This window comes from Homo sapiens, chromosome 5 (assembly GCF_000001405.40).
Source record: "Homo sapiens chromosome 5, GRCh38.p14 Primary Assembly".
Taxonomy (NCBI): Eukaryota; Metazoa; Chordata; class Mammalia; order Primates; family Hominidae; genus Homo; species Homo sapiens.
The window spans coordinates 119,833,926-119,849,282 of record NC_000005.10 but is presented as its reverse complement, the minus strand read 5'-3'; the positions used below and the strand labels follow the sequence as shown (position 1 = coordinate 119,849,282).

General features: G+C 36.3%; 1 long non-coding RNA gene across 1 annotated transcript in view; it reads right to left on the bottom strand.

Moving 5' to 3' along the window:
* The window catches only part of LOC105379144 (uncharacterized), a 142,695-nt gene extending 128,673 nt beyond the window's left edge, over nucleotides 1–14,022 (bottom strand). The window contains exon 1 of the long non-coding RNA XR_948706.2: nucleotides 13,964–14,022. This is a non-coding gene — a long non-coding RNA (uncharacterized LOC105379144). The remainder of the gene's footprint in view (nucleotides 1–13,963) is intronic.
* Between the last annotated feature and the right edge of the window lie 1,335 nt (nucleotides 14,023–15,357).

Here is a 15,357-nt window from a genome sequence, read left to right as displayed (position 1 = left end):
ACTTGATTAACTATTGAATTTTTATTAGTTTTTTGTGAATTTTTTGGTATTTTCCAAGTAGATAATAATGTCATCTCCAAATGAGATGTTTTTGTATTTTTCTTTCTAATATGTATGCCTTTTACTTCTTTTTCTTGCCTTAGTGCACTAAGATCTACATGATCCCAAAGAGAATGCAATCAGCCCTTTACCATAAAGTATGATACTGGCAGTAGGTTTTTTTGTAGACTCCCTTTGTTGGTTTAAAGAAGTTCCCATTACTTCCTAGTACATTAAGAGTTTTGTGCTGTTTTGTCTCTGTCAGTGTGAGTGGATGCTGATTTTTTTCAAATACTTTTCTGTATCTATTGAGATGATTATGTGACCTTTCATCTATTGATATGGTAAATTTTATAGATTGATTTAAGTTAAACAAGACTAAATTCCTGCAATAAATCCCACTTGATCATGATGTATTATCATTTTGATATGTAGCTGGGTTTAATTTGATAATATTTCTTAAGGATTTTTGAAAATATGTTTTGATTTAAGTTAAACAAGACAAATTCCTGCAATAAATCCCATTTGATCATGATGTATTATCATTTTAATATATAGTTGGGTTTAATTTGATAATATTTCTTAAGGATTTTTGAAAATATGGTTATGAGGATACTGGTCTGTAATTTTCTTGTAATATCTTTGGTTTTAGTATCAAGGTAATGCTGTACTCATAAAATAAGTTGGTAAACAACTTTCATCTTCTTCTACTGGTGAAGTTTATGTAGGATTTGAATTCATTCTTCATTAAATGTTTGGTTGAATTTTCCAGTGAAATAAACTAGGCCTGAAGTTTTCGTTGCTGGAAGTTTATTAACACTGAATTCATTTCCTTTAATACAGAACTATGGCAGACAAAATCCTAATATGATCTCCAAAATTTCTTTCCCTGGTGTAAATGCTGTATATAATGCCCTTGAGCATGAGTTGAACCTGTGCATATGATGAAATATCATTCATGTGATTATATCACATGATATGACAAAATGGTGTTTATCCTGAATGGACCAAAAGTAATTTGGTAAGTTATTTAAAACCAAAGTTTTCAATACTCATCATCACTGGCCATCAGAGAAATGCAAATCAAAACCACAATGAGATACCATCTCACACCAGTTAGAATGGCAATCATTAAAATGTCAGGAAACAACAGGTGCTGGAGAGGATGTGGAGAAATAGGAACACTTTTACACTGTTGGTGGGACTGTAAACTAGTTCAACCATTGTGGAAGACAGTGTGGCGATTCCTCAGGGATCTAGAACTAGAAATACCATTTGACCCAGCCATCCCATTACTGGGTATATACCCAAAGGATTATAAATCATGCTGCTATAAAGACACATGCACATGTATGTTTATTGCGGCACTATTCACGATAGCAAAGACTTGGAACCAAGCCAAATGTCCAACAATGATAGACTGGATTAAGAAAATGTGGCACATATACACCATGGAATACTATGCAGCCATAAAAAATGATGAGTTCATGTCCTTTGTAGAGACATGGATGAAGCTGGAAACCATCATTCTCAGCAAACTATCTCAAGGACAAAAATCCAAACACCACATGTTCTCACTCATAGGTGGGAATTGAACAATGAGAACACATGGACACAGGAAGGGGAACATCACACACCGGGGCCTGTTGTGGGGTGAGGGGAGGGGAGAGGGATAGCATTTGGAGATATACCTAATGTTAAATGACGAGTTACTGGGTGCAGCACACCAACATGGCACATGTATACATATGTAACTAACCTGCACGTTGTGCATATGTACCCTAAAACTTAAAGTATAATAAAAAAAAAGTTTTCTTTAGCTTGTCACAGAAGAGAAAGGCATAGAGGCAGGCACAATATGACTAGTCTGGAAGAAAGCAAACATCCATATTGTAAACTATAGGAGATATGTCAACAGCTAGGAGTTGAATGCAGTTACTAGCCAATAGCTAGTAGGAAAATGGAAACCTCAGTCCTATAACCATAAGAAAATGATGAGGCCTGCTATAATTACAGTAGTCAGGGATGTTCTCTTGGAGGACATGATCTGTGAAATAATATCTAAGTTGTGAAATAGAGACACTCAAGAAAAAAAAATAAACTATTTCCAAGCCAAGAAAATACTTGTTAGGGTTAGGGTTAAAAAAGAAAAAGAAAAAAAAAGATAAACTTGGCACTTTTCTAGGCATTGTGGCCAGAGTGTACTGAATAAGAAGAATGCAGATTAATTAAGTCATAAAGGTAGTCAGAAGGCCAGAAAATACAGATCAGGGTAAGAAGTTTATTTGCATTTTATTCAGGTTGCAATGGAAGCCACTGGAGGATTTTCAAACAGAAAGAATGCCATAATCCAACTTATACATGGAAAGAATATTTGTGCCATGATATGTCTTATGATATTTTTGGAGAGGCAAAAGTAAAGCAAAGAGATTAATTAGATGGGTATTAAAATATTATAGCTGAGAAATGATAGAGGTTTACAATTAGGATATTTTGGGTGAAGGTAATAAGAAGTATTCAGTTTCAAGATAATATTTATTTTATTTCCATAGGTTTTGGGGAACAGGTGGCATTTGGTTACATGAGTAAGTTCTTTAGCGGTGATTTGTGAGAGTTTGGTGCGCCTATCACCCAAGCAGTATACACTAAACCAAATTTGTAGCCTTCTCTCACCCCCTTCCCACCCTTTCCCCCGACAGGCCCCAAAGTCTATTGTATTATTCTTCTGCCTTTGCATCCTCATAGCTTAGCTCCCACTTATGAGTGAGAACATATAATTACTTCACTTAGAATAATAGTCTCCAATCCCATCCAGGTTGCTTTGAATGCCATTAATTTATTCCTTTTTATGGCTGAGTGGTATTCCATTGTGTGTGGAGATTATATATATATATCACAGTTTCTTTACCCACTCGTTGATTGATGGGCATTTGGGTTGGTTCCATGATTTTGCAAAAACTGTGCTGCTATAAACATGTGTGGGCAAGTATCATTTTCATATAATGACTTCTTTTCCCCTGGATAGATACCCAGTAGTGAGATTGCTGGATCAAATAGTAGTTCTACTTTTCATTCTTTAAGGAATCTCCATGCTGTTTTCCATAATTCAAACCAACAAGACTTATTTATGAACGAGTTTGGGGATATGAGGAAAGAAGATAAATCAAGGATGTTTCCTAAAATTTTGGCCTAGACTACTGGGTGAACAGTACTGCTATTCTGCGATGAGGGAAATTTGAAGGGAAAAAATAGGGTGGGAGGTAGATCTACATTCTAAGTTGGCCATGCTGGGTTTGAATTGTCTATCAGAAATTGAAACAGAGATGCCAATAAGGCAGTAGATGTAAAAGTCTAGGATTCAGGGGAGAGGTAAAGATTGACCATATAAATTGGATGAACCTCAACCTATAGATAATATTTAAAGTCATGGCTATGGAAGTTATCATTTAGTGAACCCATTAGGTAGCAGAAAAAAAGACAAAGACAGTCAAGGGGTGCTTCAGTATATGGTGGAGAAGGGTAAGTTAGAAAATATGACTAAAAGAAGTGACTGGTGAGGTATCAAGGAATGCAGTGAGTGTAATATTACAGAAGCACAAAAAAGCAAGTGTTCTGAGAAGGAGAGAGGGGTCACTTCTGTCAAATGATGCTTGCAAGTCAAGTAAGATGATGACCCATCTTGGTAAGTGGCCCCTCAAGCAAATACTATAATGCAGGGAAACTTTCTTTGATCACCAGATTATCTATTAATGTAGTTAAAGCTTGTAGACTTTGGTTAATAAAGCTAGCAGATAAACATCTATAGTACTAAAGTTGTTTGAAGTTAGAAGCCACTAATACATTTGAAGTTTAAGCATATAACTGAAATTTAACTATATCTGAAAAAGGTTTGGTGGATTAATTTTGCCAAGGGAGTCACAACCCTTACTTGTCTGAAACAGGAAGACACAGAAATCAGCTGACCTCATGAAAGGGAGGTCTGTATGAATGACCATCTAGCTTAAGGCTAAAACATATACACTCGGTCCATGTTGCTGTTATTGCACCTGCTTCCTAAACGTTTTTAGAATAACCATTCAGCCTCTTTCAGTCAGTATGGCCCAAGTCTTGCCTGCTGGTGTAGTGAATTGTAATATTTAGATTCTTTTCTTGACTTAAAATCATTTTTTTTTCAGCTCCACCAGGACTCACAAAAAGGAACAGCAATATTAAAACTTGCCCAAACTTTGCAATCTGGGAGTCTGAGATTGTAGGTAAAGACACACTCTAAAGAAATAAATTGTCTACTGTCTCCAATTATAAAACTAGAAAAATTATCTCTGAACATAATAATACAGAAATAAAAATAAAAGTTGAAAAATTAAGTCTAGTGAAGAAAAGGTAAGGTCAATAGATGGAAGTCTTCATAAAGTTTGGGGAATTATTCAAATGAGAATATTAGACCAAGAAAGATGAAAAGCTAAGAAGGGATAATAAGAGAATGAAATGTTTGAAATCAAAAATATAGAGGCAGGATAGTTATTGGTGATTATTATGGCAGTGGTTGGTTTAAGAAGATGCAGAAAACAAAAATTAAAATTTAGGAGTTTAATGAAATGAGAGACCTTGTGCTGGCTAGATCCTCTAGGTGGATGTCGAAGTTTCCAACAGTGATGACGAGTCATCATGAGGTTAATGAGAATATGGGATGAGGCAGGTGACTAGAGAGCATGAGAAGGAAGATGGAGAAATGGGGACTGTACAGCCTGAAGCTGTGAAACTGATCAGGTTAGAAGAGCCTAAAACTAAGGGAGTGAGGTGGCAGTGAAGTAAAAGGTAGCAGTCTATTTGAAACGCTATCCCTGGGTAGAATCAATAGGCACATGGAACTAATTGAATGCAAGAAATAAGAAATAGGAAGAGCCTAGGATGGCATGAGAATTTCTTGTTTGGAGACATTAGGCTGATGGTGGTGTCATGAGTCAAGGCTATGTAACTTAGAACACAAATCAGAGATGATCAGGTTTCTGCCTTCCTGCCAGCCCAGTCCTTCTCCGTCCCACCTCACCATACCAGCAAGCACACACATATGCATGCATACATGGAGTTTAGGAAAAGAACCCTGAGCATAACAATCAGGTATCCTAGACTTTAAATAAATACCTTCAAGCATTTTATATGAAAAATAGGTATAATCACTTGGTCTAAGATACTAGACAGTAGTCCAAGAAAATGAGCTTCTCAGGAAGGGAAGGAGGAAGGAATGAAAGGAGGAAAGGAGTGAGGGAAGGAGAAAAAGAAAGAGAGAGGAAGAGAGGGAGGGAGGGAGGCTGGCAGGAGGAAGATTCTGACAACACAATCACAAACAACACAAGGGAGAAAAAGAAACAGATTCATTTTAAAAGCACAGAAAAAGAGGGTTAAATCAGTATTTAAAGCAGATGGCATAATGTTAACAGATGGCAATAAAAATCACAGAACTTCTCAAGTCCTATTTTTCTTTTGTCCTCTCTATCAAAGAATCAGTCTTCAAAACTGCAAATGGAAGAACAAACAAGACACTGAAGTAATTGAAGCTCAAAGGCCAGGATGTGCGATTCAGTATGTGAATGCAAGAAGTGTTGAGTATGAATCATTAATGACCAAAAGAAGATCTATTAAATTTAGTAGAAGAGGTTATTAGACCAACTCAGAAGGATATGTCTTTCATTGGAAAAGGGACTTTGAATATATATTTGGAAATATATGGTGTGTTATGCTAACAAAAATAAAAACAAATAAGAATAGCATAAATTAATCAACAAAAATGCCTCAATCATAATTGAAGACTAAGTCCTGATAATAAGAAAACTATATAGTGCTGACATTCTTATCACTACAAGAAGGACGGATGAACGGGGAGTGGTTTGTGCAGAGGATGACTGAGATCTGAGATCAGATAAATGAAGATATGAGTTATTGATCAAAGTAAATTGCTTTGAGCTTGAGTTCTTCTTGGGCATGGTACCTGCCCACCATTCCTTTAGAGCTCACACCTAATGCAAATAAACTTTCCAGTCTAAATACCTTGCTGTCCTACTGTCAGTGCTTGCTTTTCTGGAAGGTATCATAAAGAGCTTGCATTGTTACCACTTTGCCTTGTTTATTTACCCAGTTCATTGTGACTACATGATATACATAACTTATATCTTCCAGAAACTCAGTGCTGTGAAATTGAAAACTGTGTACAAACATGATCACTTGTTGTCTTCATTAAAAGAGTATATAGTTCAAGTCCCTAACACAGATCAATTATACTGCCAAGATGTTGCAAGAATGTGAAGATATTGTCATATAATTGTTTTAGAGAACATTTGAAGACTAGTGGAATATACAATTAATATTACAGATTGAACACTGGCAAAACCCATTTCTAAAACTACTGTTGCTGAGACCATCAAAGACTCCTAACCAAAAAATCAAAATGTTGGCTGGGTGTGGTGGCTCACACCTGTAGTCCCAGCACTTTGGGAGGCCGAGGCAGGCAGATCACGAGGTTAGGAGATCGAGACCATCCTGGCTAACACGGTGAAACCCCGTCTCTAATAAAAAATACAAAAAATTAGCCGGGCATGGTGGCAGATGCCTATAGTCCCAGCTACTCGGGAGGCTGAGGCAGGAGAATGGCGTGAACTCAGGAGGTGGAGCTGGCAGTGAGCTGAGACAGCGCCACTGCACTCCAGCCTGGGTGACACAGAGAGACTCCGTCTCCAAAAAAAAAAAAAAAAAAAAAAAAATCAAAATGTTATCTTCAGCCCTCAACCAAGTGACAAAGTAACCACTCTATCTAAATTCTTTTCTCTCTTAGCTCACTGGGTACCTCACATTCCTAATTCTCCTAATTCTCTACTCCTTTATTCTAAGTCTTCTTTTCATTTGTCATGCTAGACTAATCCTACATCAGTCTCTAAGTAATTCTGCATCTTATCTGCTTAGTCCCAGATCTTTTTCTTCTCTCTGGATGGTCTCCTCTCGAGCTACAGATTTCTGTTCCCAAGTATACCTTGTTATCCATGAGCATTCCAAACATAACATATTCTCTAATAGCTGCTCAGAAATTGCCTCTCTGCCGCTGTAAATGGTATCACTATCAATCTATTCTCCCACTGGAAATTTCAGTTTTTCTTGACTTATTTTAGTCCCCATCAATTATTGTACTTACATCTCAGAAGAGTCTCTGGAATCTAATGTCTTCTCTTCATATTCATTTTTATTGCCTCAATTTAACCCTTCAGCATCTCCCACAGAAATTTATATTGACCCTCCTACCTGATCCCTCTATCACTAGTCCTTACCTGCTCTAGTTCATGTCCACATCATCTGCAGCACTTTCTTCTTCAGGTAATCTTACAATACTCCTTCCCAGATTAAACCACTTGAGGCCAGTGACTGTGAAATTAAAGTGTTGTTTTCCTAGCACCTAGAACAATGCCTAACAAACACTACCTTCTCAATAGATAATGGAACAATGAATATGGAGGCTCCACTGTCTGCTCACCACCGTCCTGACAGCCAACCACCTTCATGAGTCACTGTTTTAAATAAACTATCCCTCTACACAGGGCAGGATAGTTCAGTCGTTTAAAACCCAGGCTTTGGATCCCTCCAATTCCTGGCATATGATAAGTTTAAATACTTGTAACCATTGTTATTTGTGTTATTATTGATTATTTTCCTCAATAATTTCAACTGATGAATTTGTACTTATCTCCAACTCCTCAAACTTGATTAAATCACTTTCATCCTGTTATAACACTTTGAACACAATAACACCTCTTTTCACATCAGTCACACACATTGCAAAGGCTATGTTTTATTCATCTTTGCGTCCCATCATATAATAGAATGCCTAGCACACAGTAGTTTTCTAAGAAATATTTGTTGCTGCATAAAAGTAATATCAAAGAAGCCAGGAGAATAGAAAGTTTACCAAAAAAGGGCTAATACTAATCAATTCTATAAATACGTCAAGAGGAATGAAGATTAAAAGGGGCCATCACTGTGGACTTCAGGTTAAATGTGGTGGATTGAACATTTTGGTTTGCAACTGCTCTTCTTCAAACCTTCACTAAAATAAGATTAGGGGGAAAACTAAGAAATAGATAGATAAGGCAGGGTGCAGTGGCTCACACCTGTAATCCCAGGACTTTGGGAGGCCAAGGTGCGTGGATCACGAGGTCAGGAGTTCAAGACCAGCCTGACCAAGATGGTGAAACCCTGTCTCTACTAAAAATACAAAAATTAGCCAGGCGCAGTGGCAGCCACCTGTAATCCCAGCTACTCAGGAGGCTGAGGCAGGAGAATCGCTTGAACCCAGGCAGCAGCGGTTGCAGTGAGCCAAGATCATGCCGCTGCACTCCAGCCTAGGTGACAGAGTAAGACTCCATCTCAAAAAAAAAAAAAAAAAGAAAGAAAGAAATAGATAGATAAAATGGATAAATATGCTAGGATTAAGGTAACATGAAAGGAAGTGACAGCAACAAAATTAAGAACCTACCTAGAAAGCAGACAGTTGATTAGTAACTATCAGCAAAACAAGTAAAGCCAAAGCCTAAGCTAGAAGTAGGAAAACCCAAGAAGCAAATGTATTCATGACACAGAATCTCAGAACACCTCAGGAATCAAAAGAACTACTATTCCTAAAAACTGGTGGTGTAGTTTGTGCTGGAGATTACAAGAATCACTTCAATTCTCAGATTCCTACCCCTTATTCCACACTGAAAGGCAACTGCTCCTGCTCCATACAATAGAAGCTGAATGGTTTATTCCTTTGGAGAAGTGAAACAGGGGATGTAGACTCAAGAACAAACAGGCCCAGCTGATGATGAGTGCATCATACTGAAAATAAGAGGATAAGGTGAAACTCTTGTGCAATGAATGATGAAACACTTGTTCTTTTTTTCTTCACTTAGCCCCAAGAGGAAATACAGCCAAAAAAAAAAGGAAATACAGCAAAGTGTATATCTTCCCAGGAAATTAGAGGGTTCCCCCAGGAGGAAATAGACCAATATAAAAGTAAAAATATTGAAATATTGATAATTCAGAATCTTCCAATAAAAGACTCTAGTCAGTTCAGCTTAGGTGGTCATAATGCAAACATTAAAAATAATAATGTAAGTAACAAGAATGGATAGAAAGAAGGAGTGTGTTCACATGCCAGCACATGGGGGAATAAGAAAAGTAAACATCAATTTTCTAGGGTAAGAAGTCAATAGATAATATCTAAATCCAAAAAAAAGAAATTTTGTCAGTACAGTATAAGCATGTGTAGTAGTCAGGATTCTCCACAGAAACAGAAGCAATAAGACATATGTATATATACATATGTTTATAATTTTGTGTATGTTTATCTATGTTTTATATTTTATATAGAGAGAGATTTCTTATAAGGCATTGGCTCTCATGATTATGGAAGCTGAAAAGATCCACAACCTGCTGTCTGTGAGCTGGAGACCCAAGACAGCTGGCGTTCTAAGTCTCAGTCTGAGGGCAGAAGAAGCCTAATGTGCCAGCTCAAGCATTAGGCAGAGAGAGAGAGATAATTCCCCCTTCTTTCACATTTTGGTCTATTTAAACCCTCAATGCATTGGATGATGCTCACCCACATTGGGGAGGGCAATCTGCTTTACATCTATGGGCTGAAATGCTAATCTCTTCCCAAAACACTTTCACAAGCCCACCCAGAATTAATGTTTAACCAAATATTCAGGCACCCCATGACCTAGTTGATTTGACACATAAAATTAGCCATCACAGCCTGTTACTGAAAAATATGAAGATAAATACTTGAATAATCATCTAAATGAATACAGAATGCTTGATTTCTGGGCAGCAAAGATAGGTGAAGCCAGATGAAGGGTGAAGGGATGGCAACTTTTGTTTTCGTTTTTTGTTTCTTTACAAGCCTTGAGAAAACTGCCTAAACTATCTGCATACTTAATTTCTATCTACAAAATGTTAAACAAAAAGATATGGTTGATCTTTGTGTGAGCAATTTCAGTAAGGTGACTGGGATAGAGGCCAGATACTAGGATATAAATAGAATTTATAACAATGAATGCAGGTTCACTGTTTTAAAAGTTAATCTAAAAAGAAGAAGAAAAGACAACTGTCTAAGGAAGGTATGAAATCATACCTTCCATACCTTTTTAGGAAAAGAGAAGTTATCAGTGTAAGAAATGCAAAATTTGATGCATATGCCATAATAAATGAGAATAAAAAAGAAATAATGAACAACAATATAGGAAAAAAATTAATCCAATTTTTAAAATGGGCAAAAGAGCTGAATAAAGAATACTCAAAAGAAGACATACAAATGGCAAACAGGCATGTCAAAAGACGCTCAACATCACTGATCATCAGAGAAATGCAAATCAAAACTACAATGAGAAATCATTGCACCCCAATAAAAATGGCTTTTATCTAAAAGACAGGCAATAACAAATGCTGGAGAGGATGTGGAGAAAAGGAAACCCTTGTATGCTGTTTGTGGGAATGTAAATTAGTACAACCACCATGGAGAAAAATTTGGAGGTTTCTCAAAATGTCTTATGTTTTGTATTTTATCTTATTCTTTTTTATGGCTGAACAGTAAAGAAGTAAAAATAGACTACTATATGATCTAGCAGTCCCACTGCTAGGTGTATACCCAAAAGAAAGGAAATCAGTATATCAAAGAGATAGCTGCACTCCGAGGCTCACTGCAGCACCATTCACAGTAGCCAATATTTGGATGTAACCTAATTGTCCATCAACAGATGAATAGATGAAGAAAATGTGGTACATATAAACAATGGAGTACTATTCAGCCATAAAAAAGAATAAGATCCTTTCATTTTTCCAACAACATCGATGTTACTATTTTAAGTGAAATAAACCAGGCACAGAAAGACAAACTTCACATGTTCTCACTTATTTGTGGAAGCTAAAAACTAAAACAATTGAACTTATGGAGATAGAGTAGAATGATGGTTAGCAGAAGCTGGGAAGGATGGTGGCGATCGGGGGGGAGTAAGGATGGTTAATGGGAACAAAAATGTAGTTAGAATGAATATAATCTAGTATGTGATAGCACAACAGAGTGACTACAGTCAATAATAATTATTGTACATTTTAAAATAACTAAAAGAGTAAAATTGGTCTGTTTGTAACACAAAGAAAGAATAAATGCTTGAAATGATGAACATCCCATTTACACTGATGTGATTATTATGCCTTGTATGCCTGTATCAAAATATCTCATGTACCCCATAAATATATACACCAATATGTACCCACAAAAATTAAAAATAAAAATTTCTAATAACATAAAATAAAAAAGAGGAAACAGAAAAAATGATAATTAATATTATAATAAATAAGTGAGACCAGGCACAGTGGCTCACGCCTGTAATCCCAGCACTTTGGGAAGCCAAGGTGGGCAGATCACAAGGTCAGGAGTTCAAGACTAGTCTGGCCAATATGGTGAAACTCCATCTGTACTAAAAATACAAAAATTAGCCAGACATGGTGGTGGGCACCTGTAATCCCAACTACTCAGGAAGCTGAGGCAGGAGAACTGCTTGAACCCAGGAGGCAGAGGTTGCAGTGAGGCAAGATCGCACCACTGCACTCTAGCCGGGGCAACAGAGCAAGACTCCATCTTGGAAAAATAAATAAATAAATAAGACACACTATAGACATACACATAATACATTAGATTTAGGAAGTAAGGCAAGTGGGGAGTCAGTATATTCACAGAAAAGTTAATAATAATTGTAATAATAGCAAACAATTTTTGAACAGGCGCTATGCTAAAAATTCCTGAACATCATCGTTGAGTCCCCAAAATAGCCCTGGCAAATAGGTTTCATTATCTTCATTTTACAGTTGAGGGAAATCTCTAGGTCAGAGAAAATTGTTCTAAGTCAGGAGTTCTTAACTGGGGATGATTTTGCCCAGGCAATGTCTGGAGACATTTTGTCACAACTTGGGTGGAGGGATGGACATTATTGGCATCTTGGTGGAGGTCACAGATGCTGCTAAACATCCTGCCATGCACAGAAAAACTTCCCCCTCAACTAAGCTAGATCAAAATGACAGTAAGGCTGAGGCTGAGAAGCCCCTTTTGTAGGAGTACTCAAAGAAATTAAGTGATAAAAATGTATAAGAAAAGAGACTTGGCAACTGGATCAAGCCTTAATAACTGTTACACTGAGGGTTTTTCATAAATGTGCTAACTCAAAGAAGAAAACTGACAACTCATAGCAAGAGAGAAATCTAAGAATGAAGATCATGCATTAATTTTAAGCGGCAAGATAAAGATAAAACAATAGATGGAGAGAAATGTTGATGTACAGGTCAATTTGGAGAATGAAAGAGTAAAGAAAATATAATTATATGAAAGTGAAATTTATTAATATTGATTGGGCACTGCACTTTAAAGCAAGGAGCAGGATACCTCACCAGACATTGGAGGGATGCTGGAGTGAAATTGAGGGAGGTTATGATTGATCCTTTCTATTTCTACAGAGAAGAAAAACTCTAGAAATCTGCAAAAACAAATCTAGAAAAGATTAGATGGAGCATAGGGAGAACAGTAAAGATTAGGAACACCCACTGTAGGCAGAGGGAAATTGAACAAATTTAAAGGATTCAACAAATTTAAAGTCAGTGAATTTTGATAAGCCAACCTTTGAGGGTTCAGCTGAGTGTAAGGGGTTCGAGAATACATAAAAAAGAAGTCATAGGATTTTTGCCATTGACCATTTGGAGTAACAGCAAACGTATTTAGCCCCATACCAAAATAAGAAATTGAAAAAAATATATCAGACAATTGTTTTCAGACATTGCACAACAAATAGTGCAAACATATGATCCTGAGAATAAAAAAAAAAACAAATGAGTGAGCCTCACAATCATTTTGGCTTCTATGTCATCCAATATTCTGGATCATGAAGCTGGGGTAGAGAACTCCACGCAGAGCACAAAAAATTATAGAATGTGAGAAGACAGAGATTAGGGCTTCAGAACAATCAGGCGGCTAGAAGTTATGAAACAGAGAAGGAAGCTACAAAAGAAAAAGGAGGAGGAAGAGGAAGTTATCAAAAAAACTGCACAAGTTCCTTTAAAAATGAACTGAGTGCTAATCTGTGCATGTAAAAGAGGCAGGGAAAATAATAATCAAGGAGTCTTAAGATGAACAATTCCCAGAGCTCAAACAAAAGAGAAACACTCAAATTCCAATCCTCCAGAGGGCAGAGCATTTGGGAATCATCTGGGACATCAAGGAAAAACACAAATGGGTCAGACTGTCTCTATTTCTCAATACAAATAAATAGATGATGATGATAGATAGATGATAGATAGATAAATAGGATAGATGATAGATAGATTAGACACATGATAGAGATAGATGATAGATAGATAGATAAGAGAGAAAATAAAAAGTTGACAGATACGCACTCGAAAAAATGATCAATATCATTAGTAATCAGAGAAATAAATATTAAAAAAAAGATACCACTACACACCCATTTGATTGGCTAAATTAAAAAGGCTGACAATACCAAATGTTGACAAGAGTGTAAAGTAATAAAACTATCATACATTCTGATGAATATATAACATTTCCAATTGTAACTTTGGAAAATTGGCATTTTCTTACAAACCTATATATATGCCTATCCTGTAACCCAGTCATTTCACTTCTAGGTTTTACCCTAGAGGATGAAAACATACAAATATTCAAAGACTTTTACAGAAATTTTCATAGCAACTTTATCTTAGCCAAAACCCAAAAACAATCTAAATGTCAATTGACTTGTGAATGAATACACAAATATTGGCATATCCATACAATAGAGTTGTATTCAGATATAAAAAGGAACAAGTTGCTTATACACACAACAATATGGATGAAACTTACATATATTTTTCTGAGCAAAACGTCAGTCACCAGAGTACATGCTGTGTAATTTCATTTTCATGAAACTTTGGATTGTCTATATGAAATTCTAATCTATTGTGATAAAAAGTTTATCACTGGTTGCTTGGAGACAGGGAGAGGGAATTGTTCAGGAAGGAGACAAAGGATTTGGGGATAACAGAATTGTCCTATACCTTAATGGGGGGGTGGGTGGTACATTAATATGTACATTTGTCAAAACTTATGAAACTATTTAATTAAAATGGATGTTTTTTATTTATGTAAATTATACCCCAAGAAAGTTGATTTTAAACAAAAAGTGAGAGAACACTCAATTTTGCTGAAAATGAGAAGATGGCCCTGCCAGTACAATAAGGGTCCTATTGAAAGCTTCATGCATCACCATTAACAGAAACAGAAGATATCTCTAAGGTGTTCAAGGCACTAAAAAAGAGGACAAGAGGAAGAGTGGTAGAGACAAGCAGGCATGTGTCTCCTGATGAAAGGACATGATACCACTCTATGAAAAAAATGCAATCTGATCAATTGTCTAGATCTAAAGACCAGTTGGATCTAGATCCAATCAGAAAATAAAACAAATGGAGGAATCTGTTTAACAGACGCCATGGGAACACACAGCAACATCTAGACTGCAGAAAACTCTGCAGGAAAAAAATGACAGGATTTTTAGAACTAGGGAAATAACTAAACTAATCTTTAGACTAACAGAGAATTCAAAGATGTGTTAGACAATCACAATTACAAACTTTATTTGGATCTCAATTGGAACAAATAAACTGTAAAAAAAAATCCTCTATAAGACAATTGGTGAAATGTGAACACTATTTGATGATATTATGGACATTGTTAATTTTTAGCTGTGAAAATAATATTATGATTAAATTATAAATGTTCTTTATTTTAGAGACATATACATAAATATTTACACGTAAAATTATGTGATGCCTAGGATTTGATTGATATAATCAGAGTGGAGAGAAGATGGGAGGAGTACAAATGGACAAGATTGGTCATATGTTGATGGGTATACTGGGTTATTATATCACTTTCTCTGGTTTTGTATCTATTTAAAATTTGCCCACTATAAAATTAAGTTAGAAGGGAAGTGAAGACCACCACTGTTTTGCAGGATTCAGTGGAAACAGGCTCTGTGGAAGAATGTGGCAGATCCAGGTAGCTGCCTGGCCAGTGTCTGTTAACCTTTCTTCTTCAGTCTACTAGTCAGAATAGACTAGCTTATGTTGTAGTAACAGACCTGAAATAATGCTTAACAAAGTCCATTTCTTGTTCATACCACATATCCCACATGGGTTGGCAAAGGGGACCAACTTGATGAAGGCTCCACCCTTAGTTAAATCACTGATCTACAAATA